Source organism: Homo sapiens, chromosome 3, assembly GCF_000001405.40.
Source record: "Homo sapiens chromosome 3, GRCh38.p14 Primary Assembly".
NCBI lineage: Eukaryota > Metazoa > Chordata > Mammalia > Primates > Hominidae > Homo > Homo sapiens.
In genome coordinates this window covers 62,304,062-62,318,121 of record NC_000003.12, presented here as the reverse complement: position 1 = coordinate 62,318,121, position 14,060 = coordinate 62,304,062, and the positions used below count along the sequence as shown (strand labels likewise).

The following is a 14,060-nucleotide window of genomic DNA, read 5'->3' as shown; positions in this document are numbered from 1 at the left end:
CTTCTGCACTTAATGTTTCCTTTGCTTGGAAAGCCCCTTCTGACATTTATAGATTTGATTCCTTGTATCTTTCGATCTGTCACCTCACAGGACCATTCCTTCAATCTCCAATATAAGAATATCTCCACCTCCTGGCTCCCTATCCTCCACCTGCTTTATTTTTTTCCGTAACACAGTAACATTGCATATATTGTGTAATCACTCATTTATTTGTTTAGCAGGTGCACCCACCACTAGAATTTGAACATCCTAAGAACAGGTATTTTTGTCTCTGCTTTGCTGATGTATCCTCAGCAACCGGAACTGCCTGACATGTAAGTGCTCAGTAAATATATTTGAATGAACGAATGAAATAATTCCTCCCGTTAACATTCATCATAATTTCAGAGTACTCTAACTTCACTTGATAGGAACTTTGATTTTGCTGTTCCTTACCCTTACCACTTAGGAAAGATGAAAAGTAGACCCTTGAGTGGTCCTCTGTTCTAGGAATGAAATAGAGCTTTTGCATGGTTATAAGGAATTCTTGTTTATTTTTTATGTACATTTACAAATAAGGATTTTTCTTAAGTTGGTAATGGGTTGCATGAAAATAATAACTGTAGGCTCATTACAGCATTTGTATGTTGCTTGACAAACTGCTTACCTCCCTGCTTTGTGTAAGTTTGCATAGTAACACAGTTGGGACAAATCCGGCTCTTTCAACTTTGAGCCCAACTTTTGTAGGTCACCATCCGCCTTAGCTGTGAACTAAGGAATACCTTGGGAGTTTTCTTGCAGTTTTTAAGAACAGCAATCAGGAATATATCACAGACACTTGGGGGTTATCTAGATAGACTTTGATAATTTATTTTATAGCATCCAATAAAGGTGGTTACTTTCTACTTAAAGGTCTGTGATAGCTGCCCTTCTCATTATATTGCCCACAGCTGATCCTTTCTGTGAGACACCAGGCTGTTGAGGAAGAATCTATGGCAACATTGTATCTATTAATATACAGCTTCTGTATTTATCAGGTAAGTTTGGATACTTTCTGGAGTGAGGCATTCACAGCCATGAAAATTATTGCAACCTACTAAGTAACAACTGACCCATAATGAGATAATCTGCAAAGGTGGTGTGAAATTAATGTTTCCTAACCCCTGGACTAGTTCTATGCACCAGCATGCGATAATTATCTCCTCAGCCTCATATAATGTTCTATAATTGCCCCCAGCTTCATTATTTAGAAAACATTGTATCATTTAGTCATACATTCTATAAACATGTATGTATTAAACATCTGTAAGATGTAATCTGCCCTTAAGAGCCTAGAATCTGGCTGGGCTTTTAAAGTATACACAAAAAGCTGGAGGATGATGGCTGACAACATAAAAAATGGTTTTTATTGAATGTTTATTCTGTACCAGACACTTTCCATGAATCACCTTATCCTCATAAAAACCCTATGAGCAAGTGTGCCGAAGTCTTAGTATCCTCATTTTTATAGCTGAGAAAATTGAGACTTAGAGAAATTATTTACTTAAGATCACACTGCTAGTAAATGAACTTCAAAGTGTTTGATGTTAGTATTCTAAATAATTCTGTATGTTATCTTGAGGTTATAGAATTAAAAAGTATGCCGATTATGAGGATGATAGGGAAGACAGGAGAGAGCACTATGAGCTGGAATAGTATAGACAGCATTTTGAAAGACTCAGGTGGACCTTGAAAAATGGGCTGATTTGGAAGTCATTTTGTGATTGGGTGTATCAGGTGGCAGGAGAGTGTGGTGTGGAGTGTTCTAAATGAGGGAAGCAGCTTGCATAGAAATGTGTGCATGTGAGTACATCTGGTGTGAGGCCTAATGGAAAGGAAGCATTGGGAAGAATGTTTTCTCCTCATTTTCCTTAATTTTGAAGATTTCATTTCTGATGCCATATAATTTGAAAATGGAGGTTTGATAGTAATAAAGAGATGAAATTATTGGAGGAGGTAAGACTGGTGAGTAGAAAATAGAAATGAAGACAGAAAAGGAAGGCTTGAGGATGGAAAAGAAAGGACAAGCGTTAAAGAGTAAGAAATAAAAAAATTGCAGAATCCTTGACTATTTCAAATACTCCAAGTTATTAACAGTAAATTCTGTTATAGTTTATATAAAGGCCATCTTTTTAGACCCACTTTGAGTTTTCTCTGGATAGACAAGTACTAAAAAAATAAAGAGCTCATGACTGACATAGTTTTTCTTCCTATTTCAGGAAATCCTGGGTGAAATTTGGTAGTGGGTCCAATTGCCTGCGTACTTTACTTTGAAATAAAATAATCAGAAATTTACCTTGTTCCATAATTATAGTCTGTTCATTTTATTATGGTAAAATATTCTATACTCAAAATATATCTGAAATGCTTTAAATTGGCCCTGATGGATATTGAGTAGAGAGAATTTATAAGCAGATACTTCTTTAGAGCTTTTGTTAGTGAACCAGGTATCAATTTAGGTTCAATCAGATAAAATGCTGCAATAGAGAAATCATTCTGACGGTTGATGTTTATGTTCTAGACATTCTCAGCGGAGATCTTGCTGATAAAACTATGCTCAATCCTAGAGATTGCCAGTGAGAATTTGCATATGCCTCTTCCTTCCTTGGAAAAACAAAAACCGCAGTAGTTGTAAAATGCACTTGAGAAAACATTAGAAATTTTAAATTGAAAGCACGCATGTTGATTCTTAGGAAGTCATTTGTTTGTTGTATTATAGCAGGAGAGGGAAAGTGTCCCTTCTACTCTCTTTGAACCTTTGTGGAAATGACTGACAATAAACAAATTAATAAGAGAAAAAGGAATATGATATGGTTTGGCTTGGTGTCCCCACCCACATCTCACCTTGCATTGTAATAATCCCCCTGTGTCAAGGGTGGGACCAAGTAGAGAGAATTGAATCATGGTGGTGGTTTCCCACATACTGTCCTCGTATAGTGAGTTCTCAAGAGATCTGATGGTTTTATAAGGGGTTTCCCCCTTGGCTTGTGCACTCATTCGCTTTTCTGCTGCCCCGTGAAGAGGTACCTTCTGCCACGATTGTAAGTTTCCTGAGCCTCCCCAGCCATGCAGAACTGTGAGTCAATTAAACCTCTTATCTTTATAAATTACCCAGTCTTGGGTATGTCTTCATTAGCAGTGTGAGAATGGACTAATACAGCATACAAATATACTTAATGTGCATAAACACAGGAGCCATATAAAATATGAGGCTCAAAGAGGGGCCGGATGGTTGAGGCTTAAATACTCCAGCGGGGAGAGGGAAATGGTGAAGGGGGTGCTGTAGACAATTTTTAGAGAGGTAATACATGACTTTAGGGAAGATGAATGGACCTGGGAGGTAGAAATACTAGCTTGTAAATGTTTTTCTTTGTAATTTGAGCCTAACAGGCAGAACAAAATCCCTTCAGGTGTGGTTACATGCCTCAGTCTTCTTTCCTGGTAATAAAATTTCAAGGAGGGGATGGAAGGCAGTTGTGTTCTCTTTGGTGGGCCAGGTCTTAAGGCGGATAAAGGAATATTAAGAGTTAAATTTCACCCTGTTCTGGGGGTGGGGAGAAGGGAGGACAGGAGAGATTAGAAAGTCCTTGATTCTGGGATTATAGGTGTGCTGTGGCTCACGGCTATAATCCCAGCACTTTGGGAGGCTGAGGTGGGAGGATCGCTTGAAGCCTGGAGTTCGAGACCAGCCTGGGTGACAAAGCAAGCTCCTGTCTCAAAAGAAAAAAAAAATAAAGAAGAAAGTCCTTGATTCTGAGGTAATTTCTAAGGCCTTCCTATTATGGTTCAAAGTGTTCAGCATGCCAAAACGCCATTCATTTTGCAGTGTTGTTTTCTAAGCCCCAACAGTATACATAGTAAATGTGTATGCACATGCTCCTTAATGTGTGATGAGGTTACATCCTGATAAACTTACTGTAAGTCAAAAATATTGTAAGTCAAAAATGCATTTAATACCCTATAAGCCCATTGTAAAGTCAAGAAATTATAACTCGAACTGTTGTAAGTCAGGGACCATCTGTACTTTTTACTTCACAAATTTCAGTAATTTAGAGCTCAGACAAACCCATTGTCTTAAATGGACACTTTTCCAGACGTATAAAATTTATAGAAGGTTTTATTTTTTTTTTCAGTCCTGTTTCCATGATTTTCCAGTGGCTCTCAGTACATTCACTAGTCTCTATGACTGTTAATCCAGGCTTTTCTTGAGGTAGGCGTTTTCTCGTTCACGGCCTTCAGGCTTGCTTATTTTTTTTTCTCTCTGTTTGTTCCTCTTTGATTCTTATAATCCTGTAATAACTTTATTAGTCCACAATTGAGCAAGCAATTAAGAACCTTCTTAAATGCGTACTTGAGTACTGTACTTGATAAGTATTCTGCTATTGCCATCTTCTTGTAATGCTACAGTTGTGTTTATTGAAAACATTCAAGGCTCTTTGCACTAGCCTGTTTTTCATCATCATTGTTTGCTGTGTGCATCCACTTGAAAACTTGCATATAATTTCCTTTGAACAAGAGTTGCAGTTTTACTGGATTGCAACTTCTTTGTTTCAGAATCTAATGATGTATAAAAATATTGTTAGAAAAAGCTGTTGTGGTTTAATGCATTTGGGAAAGTTAATTTAAAAAAACCTATACTCTATTTATATGAGAACAGTAATATTTTACCTAATTTTTGGAACACTTCATGTGAATACATTTCTTCTGTGCTAGGGCATCAAGTCTTATTTTGAAATCTAATTTCATTTTTCTCTTCAGTATCCCTTTTTAAAATAGATTTTTAATAATGCCTTTCTTAAATTGAAAGCTGAGTAATTGTACTGATGGCTTATTCTTACAAACTCCCTGCTGAAATTGGGATTTGAATGCCACTTTTAACATAAGAATAGTAAAAAGTTTAGTTAGTTGAATATGCAGTTGGGATTTAGTTAATTTTTCTTTTTTTTTTTAATTTTTTTTTTGTTTGTTTGTTTGAGACAAAAGTTTTGCTCTTGTTGCCCAGGCTGGAGTGCAATGGTGCGATCTTAGCTCACCTCAGCCTCTGCCTCCCAGGTTCAAGCGATTGTCCTGCCTCAGCCTCTGGAGTAGCTGGGATTACAGGCATGTGCCACCATACCTGGCTAATTTTGTATTTTTAATAGAGACGGGGTTTCTCCATGTTGGTCAGGCTGGTCTTGAACTCCCAACCTCAGGTGATCTGCCCGCCTCAGCCTCCCAAAGTGCTGGGATTTCAGGCGTGAGCCACCGCACCCGGCCTGGGATTTAGCTAATTTTTCATAATCATATTTTTCATATGTGAAAAAAATGAAGTAACTACTGAATATCTTTTTATTTGGGTCTGCTTTTCTTGGACTCAAAAAAAAAAAAAAACAAATTGTAGGTCATGAAATAGACTATAACCTGAAGTTTTTAATGTATTTCCCAAAGTCCAGATGTGTATTAGGTTGTTCATTGGCTTGTTTATATCGTCAAAAATAGCGTTTTAACTAGTGTAAATGTAAGTCTTAATTTTTAGTCAACTTAAAGTATTTGCAGTAGGTGTAATTGCTAACAGTAATTTGAAAAATTGCATGAAGTTATCCTTTTACAGTTTTTTTGTCTGATGAATATTTGTTTGATGTGAAGAAGTGAAACATGTTTGCCTGTATGCCAAAAATTTTGAAAAGAAGTAGAGGGGAAAAGAAATGGATTCATTTTAACTCTAGATGGCAGTTAAACACAACTAACAAAGACCAACTTTTTTGAAATAAAGAGAAAAATAGTAAAACACACACACGTTCTGTTTTACTATCCAGTTAATTATATTCTCAAAATGATGTCTCAGATTGATATTACTAAATAAACATTTATAAGATGTAATTACATAAAGGTGAAATAAATAATGAAAGCCTGTAATTGCAATAATTTTTTTTTCACCTGGTAATATGGCATACACCCATGCAACGGTTTATATTGCTAGTATTTTATTTTGTCACTTTTACTAACATTTAGGTCAGTGTAGTTTCATTTTATGTACAATTATTTACCACTATCAATTCAAACCATATGCCATTGGGAAAACTATTACACATTTAATGTTTTGAAATGTTTAAGTAGAAGCAAAGCTTATTTTCATGAAGTGTGTTCCATAAAAGTAGACTTCAAAATCTGCCATAGATATCCATGCATGTACATTTGAGATCGCATTTTTCTTTCCTTTGCTTTGCATTAAAAATATATTTTTACATCTGTTTAATTCACAATTTTAGCTTGTTGCTTTCTGGGGTGCTAAAATTATGTTTCTGATGGTATTTATGAGGGAAAAGAAAAGCTTGTTTGATTATACTTTGTTCTCATCTCGTGGTCTCAGCTCGTTGTGTACTGTCATTTCTATAGACTTGTAGAGTGCAACTGTTTCTTGTTTATGAACACCATACATTTATGTGGTATCTAGCAAATAGTACAAAAATAACTTAAAGTAGACCTAAGGAGTCTCATCTGACTTGTCAGATAGCTTAAAAAAGGAAAGGATGTGATATGTTTTAAAAATGCTTTATTGTAGATTTTATATGAAATAACTTAATCCTTTTGAGAGGACTAGTTGATTTGATTCTCATTTCCTATATATAGCAATTTATGCTCTGAGTATCTGTCTGAATAGTGGATTAGCTCATACATGGCAGCTGATGCCCTGGGTGAAGGGACTTGCTCTCCACTTTTGTAAGCCCTGTGAAGTTGTAAGAAATGTTACTGTCATGCATAAAGGTGTGGAGGTGCAGGTCACCCTACTGGAAACTAGGACCTTATTGGACACCTCAGATCTTGGAGTCAGCATTTGCCTAAATGTTCAGTAGAATCTCCAAGAGTTCCTGTGCCTTTAGAATTATTTACCTGGACTCCAAACTCTTCATAGCAGTTATTGTTTCATAATGGGTTCTTCATGGATGCTAGTGGAATATATTTAAGTTGGCAAAAGGATAAACACTTTCTTTTCTTTTTAAAGCAACATAAAAAGTCCCATGTTACTCAAAAAGTAACGTAAAAGAATTTATCCATTTATTTTTAGAGAAGCTTCTAGTAGAATTCTATAAGAATAAATAGAGTTGCTCACTTCCAAGATTGTTGCCTTGCAAGAATAAAAGGTGCTGGAGATGCTGATTTTTTTTTTTTTTTTTTTTTTGAGACAGTCTTGCACTGTCACCCAGGCTGGGGTGTAGTGGCACGATCTCGGCCCACTGCAAGCCCCGCCTCCTGGGTTCACGCCCTTCTCCTGTCTCAGTCTCCCGAGTAGCTGGGACTACAGGCGCCCGCCACCACGCCAGGCTAATTTTTTGTATTTTTAGTAGAGACGGGGTTTTACCGTGTTAGCCAGGATGGTCTCGATCTCCTAACCTTGTGATCCTCCCGCCTCGGCCTCCCAAAGTGCGGGGGATTCCAGGCGTGAGCCACCGCGCCCAGCCTGGAGCTGCTGATTTTTGAGGTAAAGACAGAAACCTGGATTTTCATATGAAGTCATCTTACTTCTCAGTGTTAGCAAGTCATTCAAGTAAAAAACTACAAAGCAAATAACTTAAAACATACCAGCAGACTGAGAGTTTGTAATCTTTAATGTATAGCACTCTCATTTTTTAGCTCATTTAAAAATAACATATATTGTAAAATTGATTGCTTAAAATCTTTTAGTTATTGGATACAATCTGGTGATATGTGAGGTTATACTTTAGTTATTTTAAAATCAGATTTTGGGGTTTTTCTAAAAGACTTCTATTTCGTATCCACCATGAGTGTCTTGAGTAATATCTTTGGATATCTGATCCTATCCTTTACATTTTTCTTCCTAATTTCATGATCAAAGAATAACCTTAAATTAAGTTATGGGAGTGTGTTGTTATAGGTACAGTGTGCTACCTACCTTGTGTCCAAACATGCAAGTACTAAAGAAATGTGACACCTTCATCATTAGTTTTCTTTATCTTACATTTTTCCTTCTACAGTCTTCTCTATGGTCTTAGTGATTTTTTAAAAACATAAATCAGAATTTGTAACTCCCCTCCTTAAACCCTATAGTGGCTTTCCATTGCCCTTATAAAATACACACTCCTTGGCATGGCCTCTAAGGCCCTGCTTGATCAGATCCCTGCTTACTTCTCTAAACTCATTTCTTACCAGGTTCCCCTTTCTTCACTCTTATCTTGCTGATGTACACCAAGCTTAGTCCCATTTCAAGGACTTTTTCACCTGATGTTCCCTTTGCCTGGAATATCTTCCACAGAGCTTTATGTGTTCTTTGCTAGTCACTTCCCGAGTGAGGCTTTCCTGTCCACCCTGCCAAAAACAATTCCTTTCACCATCATTTTCTGTCTTCTTACCTTGCTTTCTTTATTTATTTAAAGTAATACTTAACCTCTGTCTGATATATATTTGCCTACTTGTTTGTCTTTCCTCTCACTGGCATATACATACATTTCATGAAGACAGGAACTTTGTCTATCTTGCTAATTGCTATATCCTCAATACCTAGAAGAGAGCCTAGCCCTATTCAGCTGAAGAGAAGTGTAAAATAAATGAATAAATAAAGTCTAGGTAACCATGGTGACACTGAATGGTAGAAGACAGACCTCAAATTGGAAAGGGCTGCAGAAGCAAAACTATGAAGATACTGTAAGTATGATGCTGGTACCTCAATGCTGTACATTTGACATATTTACCCATCATGTAACCCATCTCACAATGGCTTTTTTTCAGTTTTTGTTTTAGAAATTTGACTTTCTATATGATAGAATTAAAAACTGGTATTTTAAACATGCTTTCTAGAACTACATTCACATAAATGATTTACTAAATTCATAAAGTGTGGTTTTTACATGTGGACTACTATAATAATATGAAATGTATTAGAAAGTTATCCTTTCTGAATCAACGTAGTGTTGACATTTGAAGGTCACAGTAAATCCTAGGGATGTGTTTTAAATGATACAGTCATGCACTGCAAAACAAAGTTTCTGTCAGTGAGATTACTTGTAAGAAGGTGGTCCCATAAGATTATAATGCCATATTTTTACGGTACCTTTTTAATGTTTAGATATGTTTAGATACACAAACACTTACTATTGTGCTACAGTTGTCTACAGTATTCAGTATGGTAACATTTTGTACAGGTTCATAGCCTAGAGGCAATAGGCTGTACCATATTGCCTAGGTATATAGTAGGCTATGCCCTCTAGGTTTGTGTAAGTAACTCTGTGATGTTCAAATAACAGTGAAATTGCCTAACAATGAATTTCTCAGAACATATGCCCATCATTAATGTAAGACATGACTGTACTTTGAATTGCTATCAGATAACTAAGGATTCTGAGAAATAAGATTAAATAATTATTTGTATGGTATTTGCTTTGCTTTAAATATCCTTAGTATGAGTAAGTTCTTGGTAGAGAAGTAATTCACAGTAGACACAGCACAGAAAATATGTTATATAGTTAAAGTATTTTAGCATTGCTGAAAGATTTTTTTGAATAGTTTTTGTTACAGTTTGTTTTGCATGTGAACTCTTTATGTGTGTGAGAAAATTCTCTACAAAAGATGTTTTAGGGGTATAATGATGGAACATTCACTTATTTCATGTGCCCAAAATATTATTTCTCTCTCAAAAATATATAATTTTATGGTTCAGATGAATTTCTGACAGCTGTGAATGCTTTGTAATTCATTTTAAGATCACCAGTTCTTATTGATATTTTAAAATATAGTCTGTTGAGAGTACTTATGTGACTTTATGGGAAGGTTTGTGAAAAAAATTGGTTTATATAAATTTACGTCTCTGCCAACTTTGCTGCATGTAAATATATCCCTATCAAATTTCTACCTTCATCGGGTAAGGGTAGCACACCCTTAAACAAAGTATGTACAGGAAAAGAAATAAAAAAAATCAGTAAACTTCATATCCCAGGCATATTCCAGTTTATGCTGTGAATAGAACTAGGGAGTTTGACCTTTACAATTGAAATGTGCTGAGCCCTTAGACTTACATTTGCTAGAGAGGCAGTGTGTTGAATAGCCATCTTATTGAATGAGAACATGTAGATTCCAGCTCTAGATTTGCTACTGATGAACTGTTTCATCATTGGTAAGAAAGGCAAAAATTACCTTCTTTCTCTACGTTACAGGATACTTGTGAGGGCCAAGTGAGATAATGGATATGAAAGTGCTTTTGGAATTGGAAGACACTATGAAGTGTAAGGTTTTCATTTTAGAGTGGCTTTAACAGTAAACTAGATCTATTTTCTTAGACTGTATCACACATAGTCTTCTTACTAAGGTGGTGTAAAAACCTTATAAATTGTTTAACTTAGTATATGTGCCTATCTTATGGACTGAGTTTTCCTTGATAGCAAGACTGTGGTGTATTTTAGTCCTGATTTATTCTATGAATTTCCAGCCCTTATCTTTTCAAAGATAATATTTTCTCTCATCTTTGTAATAATATGAGCTGAAAAGACTGATAAGCTCTAAAGTTTACTTAGCAGGTGAATAAAGGTATTTATACATTGATTTGACATGCAAATAAAGGGTTGTTTTTTTTTTTTACAGTAAATCTTGCAATAGTGTTCTTAGCTTTATTTATATTTTTCATTCAGCGTTGTTAACTAATTTTCCCATGTCTTTTAGACTCAGAATTACTGGGTATTCGTTTTTCATCCTGAAACTTACACAAATGAATTCTCAAAAGTCATTGACAAGTAAATAATTTAAACTTAATTTTAAAACGTTTTAAACTCACAGAGCAAAGTTTCTCAGAAGAGTAGAATTAACAAATCTTGGATTTTGAGGTATATTTTGAAAGCACAAAATTATAATACTATTTTATCTCCACATGCGTGGAATAGATTTCATTATTTTTGACCTATTGCTTAAAAGAGAGCTGTACTATTTGTATTAAAATTTCATGTTCTTGGGATACTTTTAAGTAGAGTGAGCTGTACAAGAAAATTCTGATCTTTGAGAAGCAGTGTTTTCAAGGAAAATGTAAAAAAACTGTACTGACTCAAATGGTCTGTTTTATAGTCTTTATTTTTTTTTTTTTTTTAATTTTACTTTAGGTTCTGGGATACATGTCCTGAACGTGCAGGTTTGTTACATAGGTATACATGTGCCATGGTTGTTTGCTGCACCTATCAACACATCATGTAGGTTTTAAGCCCCACATGCATTAGGTATTTGTCCTAATGCTCTCCCTCCCTTTTCCTCCCACCCCTCGACAGGCCCTGGTGTGTGATGTTCCCCTCTGTGTGTCCATGTGTTCTCATTGTTCACCTTCAACTTATGAGTGAGAACATGTGGTGTTTGGTTTTCTGCTCCTGTGTTAGTTTGCTGAGGATGATGGTTTCCAGTTTCATCCATGTCCCTGCAAAGGACATTAACTCATTATTTTTTATGGCTGCATAGTATTCCATGGCATATATGTGCCACATTTTCTTTATTCAGTCTATCATTGATGGGCATTTGGGTTGGTTCCAAGTCTTTGCTATTGTAAATAGTGCTGCAAGAAGCATACGTGTGCATGCCTTTATAGTAGAATGATTTATAATCCTTTGGGCATATACCCAGTAATGGGATTGTTGGTTCAAATGGTATTTCTGGTTCTAGATTCTTGAGGAATTGCCACACTGTCTTCCACAATGGTTGAATTAATTTACACTCCCACCAACAGTGTAAAAGCATTCCTATTTCTCCGCATCCTCCAGCATCCGTTGTTTCCAGACTTCTTAGTGATCGCCATTCTAACTGACATGAGATGGTATCTTATTGTGGTTTTGATTTGCATTTCTCTAATGACCAGTGATGATGAGGTTTGTTGGCTGCATAAATGCCTTCTTTTGAGAAGTGTCTGTTCATATCCTTTACCCAGTTTTTGATGGGTTTTTTTTTTCTTGTAAATTTGTTTTAAGTTCATTGTAGATTCTGGATAGTAAACCTTTGTCAGGTGGATAGACTGCAAAAATTTTCTTCCATTCTGTAGGTTGCCTGTTCACTCTGATGATAGTTTCTTTTGCTGTTAAGAAGCTCTTTAGTTTAATTAGATCCCATTTGTCAATTCTGGCTTTTGTTGCCATTGCTTTTGGTGTTTTAGTCATGAAGTCTTTGCCCATGCCTATGTCCTGAATGGTGTTGCCTAGGTTTTCTTCTAGGGTTTTTATGGTTTTAGGTTTTAAGTCTTAAATCCATCTTGAGTTATTTTTTGTATAAGGTGTAAGGAAGGGATCCAGTTTCTGTTTTCTGCATATGGCTAGCCAGTTTCCCAGCACCATTTATTAAATAGGGAATCCTTTCCCCATTGCTTGTTTTTGTCAGGTTTGTCAAAGATCAAATGGTTGTAGATGTGTGGTGCTATTTCTGAGGCCTCTGTTCTGTTCCATTTGTCTATATATCTGTTTTGGTACCAGTACCATGCTGTTTCCGTTACTGTAGCCTTGTAGTATAGTTTGAAGTCAGGTAGTGCAATGCCTCCAGCTTTGTTCTTCTTTCTTAGGATTGTCTTGGCTATACTGGCCCTTTTTTGGTTCCATATGAAATTTAAAGTAGTTTCTTCTAGTTCTGTGAAGAAAGTCAGTGTTAGCTTGATGGGAATAACATTGAATCTATAAATTACTTTGGGTGGTATGGCCATTTTCATGATATTGATTCTTCCTATCCATGAGCATCAAATTTTTTTTTCCATTTGTTTGTGTCCTCTCTTATTTCCTTGAGCAGTGGTTTGTAGTTCTCCTTGAAGAGGTCCTTCACATCCCTTGTAAGTTTTATTCCTAGGTATTTTATTTTCTTTGTAACAACTGTGAAAGGGAATTCACTCATGATTTAGCTCTCTGCTTGTCTATTATTGGTGTATAGGAATGCTTGTGATTTTTGCACATTGTGAGACTTTGCTGAAGTTGTTTATAGTCTTTCTTTGACAGTAACATTATTGATATATCTTCCTTGGTTGTCACCTTCAGGCAAAGTCAAGTCCCAACTCTTTAGGTTGATATTTAAGGTATTCCATGGTGTAAACCTTATCTTACTTTTCCAAGTTCATCTTATTTATTAAGACAAAAAGTTTTGTTTATGCAAGTCTGTTTCCAACATTCACATGAACCGAATGTCCTTCATTACCTGTTTTTTTTCACTCAAGATTTATCTGTTTTTTAAGGTCCAGCTGAAGTATCACATCCTTCTTGAAGCTTTTCCTCTGAACTCTTGTGGCACTTATTTATGTTAATAATACCAGTCCATTTGTAATTTATGTAATACTAATCTATTTGGAACCTAATGATAAATTGTCATGTAGTGTTATTTAACTTTTCAGGTCTGTATATATTTTATTTTATTTATTTGTGAGACAGAGTCTCGATCTGTCACCCAGGCTGGAGTGCAGTGGTGTCATCTCTGCTCATTGCAACCTCCACCTCCTGGGTTCAAGCAATTCTTATGCCTCAGCCTCCCAAGTAGCTGGGACTACAGGTGTGTGCCACCACACCCAGCTAATTTTTGTATTTTTAGTAGAGATGGCATTTTGCCATGTTGGCCGGGGTGGTTTCGAATTCCTGGCCTCAAGTGATCCACTCACCTCAGCCTCCCAAACTGCTGGGATTGTAGGCATGAGCCACCATGCCCAGTCCAGGTCTGTATACACTTCGTGTGTGTGTGTGTGTGTGTGTATGTGTGTATCTTTGTATAGAAACTGCATATTATTTTACATTGTTCCTATCTTCTACAGGGCTTGGAATATGTAGAGATAGGTATATAAAATATGTTCAATAAATGTTAACATGGTTGTGATAGTTACCTTACCAACTATTGTAGTTCTTGGTTGGAAGACTGGTTTAACATTTAAGATGGGGTGACCCCAATCCATTCCTAGAAACTAAGGCATAGACTCTTAGCATAAGATTTCTATCTCTGAAGAACAGTACTCTTAGAAAAACTTTCATAAAAGTGTTTAAAAGATTATTTAGGAAAGTGAACAATATTTACTCATTATGCATTCTCTTTTTATAGCTCTCAGTTATTGAAGGCCCTCACCTCAC

At 36.0% G+C, this 14,060-nt stretch overlaps 1 long non-coding RNA gene across 3 annotated transcripts in view; it reads left to right on the top strand.

Annotated features, from left to right (window-relative positions):
• Positions 1 to 14,060, top strand: part of PTPRG-AS1 (PTPRG antisense RNA 1) — a 57,129-nt gene that overhangs the window by 826 nt on the left and 42,243 nt on the right. Inside the window, exons 2-3 of one of the 3 annotated variants that reach the window (NR_038283.1) lie at positions 222 to 314; positions 930 to 1,016. This is a non-coding gene — a long non-coding RNA (PTPRG antisense RNA 1). Of the gene's footprint in view, positions 1 to 218; positions 315 to 929; positions 1,017 to 14,060 lie in introns of all 3 variants that reach the window. The other 2 variants (NR_038282.1, NR_038281.1) reach the window with 2 other exon arrangements.